Below are 7,075 nucleotides of genomic sequence, written 5' to 3'. Positions count from 1 at the left end.
CCTTCAACCTGCAATAAAATTGAGAAAATCCTTCAGAACACTGCGAGAGAAAAGATATTATACAGGTAGTTTGAGGGCAACAGCTGGGATTTTATCAGGTTCCTAAATTGAAATTCACTTATTTTTATTTTATTTTTTGAGAGGGAGTCTTGCTCTGTTGCCCAGGCTGGAATGTAGTGGTGAGATCTCAGCTCACTGCAACCTCTGCCTCCTGGGTTCAAGCAATTCTCCTGCCTCAGCCTCCCAAGTAGCTGAAATTACAGATGCCCACAACCACACCTGGCTAATTTTTGTATTTTAGTAGAAACGGGGTTTCACCATGTTGGTCAGGCTGGTCTCGAACTCCTGACCTCTAATGATCTGCCTGCCTTGGCCTACCAAAGTGCTGGAATTACAGGCATGAGCCACTGCACCCGGCCTTGAAATTTATTTCTAATCCCTTCTTGTTTCTCACCCCTAGAAAACAATTCCATTTTCCCTGAGGTGGTAAGACCTGGGAAGATCTGGGGGTGAAAAATCTGCTCTGGCTTGGACTGCTGACTTTAAATCCACTTCTCCAGCTCTGACACCTATGCCGAGCCAACTTCCATAGTTCCAAGCACCTTCAACTCATTTCCACGTGGCAGTCCCCGCTGCCTGCAACTTCAACTCCAGACATGTTAAACCAGAATCCACCTCCCAGTCCTTTATTCCCCTCCACTTTCACACCCAAATAGACTCCCTTTCTCAACTTCCTCATTGGTGATTAAGATTCAACCTGCAATTTAAAGGCCCTCATTCACCAAGTCCTTGCTTTTTAAATATATCTGCTTCTGTAAAATTGGAATAACAATAGTGTGCACTTTATAGAGTTGTGGGGATCAAGTAAGGCCTCCATTAGGCAGCCACCAAGAAAGGGCATGGCTCAGTGTAAGATGCCCCTTCAGCCAGACTCCACGCCTCTCCTAGCAACCATCAAGGGGGATCCCCAACCCCTCCAGCTCCTGTCAAGACACCCCACCCCACCCCCAATCCTTCACTATGTACCTTGTGACCATCAGGACTAATTTCATCATGTCCCTTATCCCCACTGATGTCTGTCCCACAAGAAACCCAAGACTCCCAGGTCACCTCTCATCCCTGGGCATCTAATCCCCATCTGACTCTGCCCATCCCCTTTTCTAGCCTCACTCGCCATCCTCCTCATCTCCCGAAACCCTTTCACTTGCAATCGTCAGCAGAATCCTTTCCTTCGTGCTCTCCTCTGAGTGTGTCCTTCCCCTCCCCCTGGAGGAGTAACTGAAACTTGGCTCTGTCCCCTGGTGACACTGCTTCCCTGAAGCCCTCTGCAGTGGTAGCTGGCTTCCCTTCCACAGGACCTGAAGGTTGGGGTAGGGTTCTTCTTGCTTCTCATTGCTGCTTCTAGACCATGCCCCCTGCCTCCTCCATAATTATCTTATCATCAGACCATATCACTTAGTCTCCAGTCATTTATTAATCACTTTTTTATAATTTTAATAACTGACCCACTTTCACTCACCTCAATATTACCTCTGTCTTGGGTCTTAGCAATTTCAAGTTACACACAGATGATCTTTCTAACACCCTGGCCTCTCTAGTGATCTTGTCCTCCATCCAACTCAGCCACTTATACCCATGGTCACACCCTAGGCCAGTGCTGTCCAAAAGAACTTTCTGCAATGATGGATATATTTTACAGCCACTCTGTCCAATAAAATAGCCTCAGTCACACGTTACATAGGGCTACTGAGTGCTTGAAATGTGACTTCTGCAAGTGAGGAACTGAATTTCAAATTTTATTTAATATTTAATGTAAATGTGAAGCATCTATCTGTGTTTGTATTCTTTGTTCACTCCTGTTCCTGTAGAGGAACTTAGCTCCTAGCTTAGGTCAACTCATCACTAGTACCTTAGAGGTCATTCCCTCCTAAAAAAATTCTCCTTCCTTTCTTCATCAGTTTCCCCCTCTCTACCAGGTTATTCCCATCAACCTCCAAGCATGGTGCTATTTCTCCCATCTTAAAAAAATATTTCTTGGCCCCAGCTTCCCATCTGGCTATTGCTATATTCCCCCAATTCCTTCTAGAGCAAAACTCCTTAAAAGAATTGTAGAGGTCAGGCGCAGTGCTGACACCTGTAATCCCAGCACTTTGGGAGGCCTAGATGGGAGGATCACCTGAGCTCAGAAGTTCAGGAACAGCCTGGGCAACACATTGATACCCCTGTATCTACAAAAATAAAAAATAAAAATGAAAATTAGCTAGGCGTGGTGGCACATGCCTGTAATCCCAGCTACTCAGGAGGCTGAGGCAGGAGGATCATTTGAACCCAGGAGTTTCGGCTGCCCTGAGCTATGATTGCACCACTGCACTCCAGCCTGGGCAACAGCGTGAGACCCTACCTCTAAAAAACAATAACAAACACACACAAATAATTGTCTATACTCACTGTACATTCTCACATTGCTACAAAGAAATACCTGAGACTGCGTAATTTATAAAGAAAAGAGGTTTGGCTGGGTATGGTGGCTCATGCCTGTAATCCCAGCACTTTGGGAGGCCAAGGCAGGTGAATCACTTGAGGTCAAGAGTTGGAAACTAGCCTGGCCAACATGGCAAAACCCTGTCTCTACTAAAAATACAAACACTAGCTTGGTGTGGTGGTGCGTGCCTGTAATCCTGGCTACTCAGGAGGCTGAGGCAGGAGAATTGCTTGAACCCAGGAGGCGGAGGTTGCAGTGAGCTGAGATCGCACCACTGCACTCCAGCCCGGCTTCAGAGGCGACAGAGCAAGACTCCGTCTCAAAAAAAAAGAAATAAAAGAGGTTTAATTGGCTCACAGTTCTCCAGGCTGTACAGGAAGCATGATCTTGACATCTGCTCAGTTTCTGGGAGGCCTCAGGAAACTTACAATTAAGGTGGGGGGTGAGGCATCTCACATGGTGGGAGCAGGAGCAAGAGAGAGCAAGGGGGGATATGCTGCACACTTTTAGACAACCAGATCTCTCGAGAACTGACTGTCAGAAGAAAAGCACCAAGGGGCTGGTGTCAAACCATTTATGAGAAATCCACCCCCAGGATCCAAGCACTTCCCACCAGGCCCTACCTCTAATACTGGGGACTACAGTTCAACATGAGATTTGGAGGGATGCAGATCCAAACCATATGATTCACAGACATCAATGTCTTTTCTCCCATTATTTCTTGAATCTCTACTCTGAAACTGCTCTGAACAGGGTACCAGTGACCTCCATATTGCTAAATCCTGTGATTCTTTCCCAATCCTCATCTGAGTTGACCTGTTGCAGCATTTTACACAGTTGTTTGATCATGCTGTCCTCCTTGAAACGCTTTTTTCACTTGGCTTCCGGAATAGCACACTTGCCTAGTTTTCCTCCAACTTTTCTGATGGTTCCATTTTCTCTCCCTCTCTCCCCACCTTTTTTTTTTTTTTTTTTTTTTTGGTTGGACACAGGGTCTTGATCTGTCATCCAGGCTGTAGCACAATGGTGCAGTCTCGGCTCACTGCAGCCTCCATCTCCCAGGCTCAATCAATCCTCCCACATCAGCCTCCTAAGTAGCTGGGACTACAGGCATGTACCACCACACCTGGCTAACTTTTTTGGTATTTTTTTGTAGAGACAGGGTTTTGCCATGTTGCCCAGGCTTGTCTCAAACTCCTGGACTCAAGCAATCCACCCACCTCAGCCTCCCAAAGTACTGGGATTACAGGCGTGAGCCACTGTGCCCAGCCCATTTTCATCTCCTATAATAGTTTCTTATTCCTCAACTCCTCAACTTCTGAACGTTGGAATGTCCAGGGGCCTAGTCCTCAGATCCCTTCTTTTTGTCTATATGCTCACTCCCTATTTGATCTCATCTAGTCTTATAGCTTTAAATATCACCTATCTGCGGATCATTCTCACATTGTTATCTCTAACACAGACCACTCCCCTGAAGTCCAGGCCAGTGTATCCAATTGGCATCTGGACATCTAAAATCTGACAGGTCCTAAACTGAACTCCTGGTATCTCCCTCCCCTCACACATAACTTGCTCTCTCCAGTCTTCCCTACCTCAGTTAAAGGCAACTCCATTTTTCCAGCTGCTCAGCCTAATCCCTTAGACTTATCCCTGTTTCCTCTCTCTCTCTCTTTGATCCATCAGAGATCCCTCAAGTTTTATTGACTCTATATTCAAGTTATAATCAGAAATTGATTGTTTGTCTATTTGTCACCCGCTCCACTGCAGCCATCTTGTTCTGAGCTACCATCATTTTTCTCCAGGAATATAGCACTAGTGGTTTCTCTGATTCTGCTCTTGTCCCTTGCAATCTATCCTCAAAAATCTGCCAGAGTGATCTTGTTAACATGTATGTTCCATCATATTGCTATCCTGCTCAGAATGCTCCAGTGGCTCCCAGCTCACTTGGAGTAAAAGCCAAAGCCTCATTAGGGCCCCCAAGGTTCAAGAAGATTGGGACTCCACTATGTCTTTACCTAATCTCCAACTTCTCCCCTCATTCACTGAAGTCTAGACAAACTGGCCTTCCCACTGTTACTGGAACTTAGCAGGTGTGTTCATGCCTCTAGGCCTTTGCACATGCTGTTCCCTCTGCATGGACTGCTCTTTGCCCAGATATTTTTGTGGCTAGTTCCCTCATTTCCTTCAGGTTTATTCAAATGTCGCCTTTTATTGAGGTCTTGCCTGGCTCTGCTATTTAAAATTTTACACTCCTCCCCAGCACTTTATTTCCCCTTTCCTGTGTTGTTTTTTCTCCTTAGCACTCAATATTATCTAACATGCTACTAAATTTTATTTATTTATCTTGCTTATGGTCTGTTTCCTCAGTGGAATGTAAGCTCCATCATAGTAAGGATTTTTGTTAGTTTTATTTGCTGCTGTATCTTATTGCCTGGATCAGTGTTTGATTTATTCACCTGTTTGTTTTTGGTTTATTTGTTTTGTTTTGTCTTTTAGAGACAGGGTCCCACTCTGTCGCCCAGGCTGGAATGCAGTGGCACGATCTCAGCTCATTGCAGCCTCGACCTCCTGAGCTCAAGTGATCTTCCCATCTCACTCAGTCTTCTGAGTAGCTGGGACCACAAGTGCATGCCACCACACCCAGCTAATTTTTCTATTTTGTGTAGAGATGGGGTTTCGCCATGTTGTCCAGGCTAGTCTCAAACTCCTGGGCTCAAGTGGTTCTCCCACTTAGGCCTCCCAAAGTGCTGGGATTACAGGCATGAGCCACTGCACCTGACCCACCTATTTGTTAAATGAATTAATAAAGGAAAATAATTCATTTAATGTCCTTAGAACAGTGCCTAGCAAGAATAGTAATGGTTTTATTAATCTTACCTGATTTTTAAAAATTGTTATAATTACCATCATCTTCCTCATTGCTACTGGGTTCTCCCCTCTTCCTGTCCCTACAGTAGTTTCCTCACTTGAGGCTCCCATGATCTCTTGCTAGACTATCTCAGTAGTCTCAGAAGTTGTCTTCCAGCCACCGATTTTGCCTCGTTTAGACACACCCACTGCTTCCTGACTTACATTTCTTGAAAACAAATTTGATCCTTTGACATCCCTATCAAAAAGCCTTTCAGTGACTCCCCACTGCTTTTAGGTGAAAGTCCCAGCACTCACATGGCAGGCAGACAAAGCCTTCCACAACCCGGCCCCTGCTCATCTCTCCATTCTTCTCTTCATTCCTTCCTTACACTTAAGACATCCCAACACGCCATGCCCTTTCACAACACTGCATCTTTCTCTGCCAAGAATGCCCTGCCCTCCTTGTCTGCCTCATCAGCTCCTAGTCATCTCTTAAAACCTTCTTTCAGCAAGCACATCCTCCCCTGCAGAACTCATTCCTGCCTCCTTTGTGCTGTCCCTTATGCCTGTGTCTGTTAGGTGCCACATCACAAGTATCATATGTGTTATGTATTTTTTGCCCACTTTCTGAGTCTGATTTTTTTCCTTTTCCTATCTGCCTCTCATACTTGGTGTAAAGTCTTTTTTCAAGACCTAGTATTTCTTTTCTCTTCTTTTTTTTTTTTTTTTTTTTTTTTGAGACAGAGTCTGGCTCTGTTGCCCAGGCTGGAGTGCAGTGGCGCAACCTTGGTTCACCACAACCTCCGCCTCCTAAGTTCAAGCGATTTCAGCGATTCTCCTGCCTCAGCCTCCCGAGTAGTATCTGTGATTCAGGTGCCCACCAACACAGCCGGCTAATTTTTATATTTTTAGTAGAGATGGGGTTTCACCATGTTGGCCAGGCTGGTCTCAAACTCCTAACCTCAAGTGATCTACCTGCCTTGGCCCCACAAAGTGCTAGAATTACAGGTGTGAGCCACTGTGCCCAGCCAAGACCTAGTATTTCTTGAGCTGAGACTGACTCTATGATCTGCCCCAACCATATTTCTTCAATCACATTTGCTCACAGTTTTCTAGGATTTATGCTCCTTAGACTGGAGTGCAGAATAGACCATCGTTTGGTGAGGGAAGGCACCACATTGGTTAGGACTTGCTTCTGTATACCTAGCCTCTAGCTCACAGTAGGAGCTTAGTCGATGTTTGTTGAATGGATGCTTGATAGTTTGCATATGCCCCTGCAGAGTACAAGGCCAATTTGGGTGGAGATACGCGAAGTCACGTGAATAAAGTATATTTTCCTGCAGCATCTGTTATACTTGAAGACTTGAGGGGAAAATATTAAAGAATTTAATATGTAACTCCAATTACATTGTATATCAAAACAAACATCTGTTATGAAGAAGAGTATCAAATTCACAAGCACTTTTAAGACTAAATAGGGCATTTCAAAGAAATTTTGAATTTGTGGCAGGTCCCTCTGGGCTGCTCCTTCCGGTCCCTCAGAGGCATGAGTTCCTTCTCAGGTCCCTCTGGGCTGCTCCTTCAGGTCCCTCAGAAGCATGAGTTCCTTTTCCTCAGGTCCCTCTGGGCTGCTCTGTTGGGTCCCTCAGAGGCATAAGTTCCCTCTCCTCAGGTCCCTCTGGGCTGCTCCTTCAGGTCCCTAAAGGGCATGAGTTCCCTCTCCTCAGGTCCCTCTGGGCTGCT

The 7,075-nt window shown here is 45.5% G+C and overlaps 1 annotated feature.

Moving 5' to 3' along the window:
• Positions 6,298-6,853: an enhancer, noted in NCBI's record as "NANOG hESC enhancer chr4:153649784-153650339 (GRCh37/hg19 assembly coordinates)". NCBI's record gives its function as "activates a minimal SCP1, AML or CMV promoter by ChIP-STARR-seq in naive H9 embryonic stem cells {active_cell/tissue: H9 hESC(naive)}" and the evidence as "EXISTENCE:reporter gene assay evidence [ECO:0000049][PMID:30033119]".

Source organism: Homo sapiens, chromosome 4, assembly GCF_000001405.40.
Source record: "Homo sapiens chromosome 4, GRCh38.p14 Primary Assembly".
NCBI lineage: Eukaryota > Metazoa > Chordata > Mammalia > Primates > Hominidae > Homo > Homo sapiens.
This window is presented reverse-complemented; position numbering and strand designations above follow the sequence as displayed.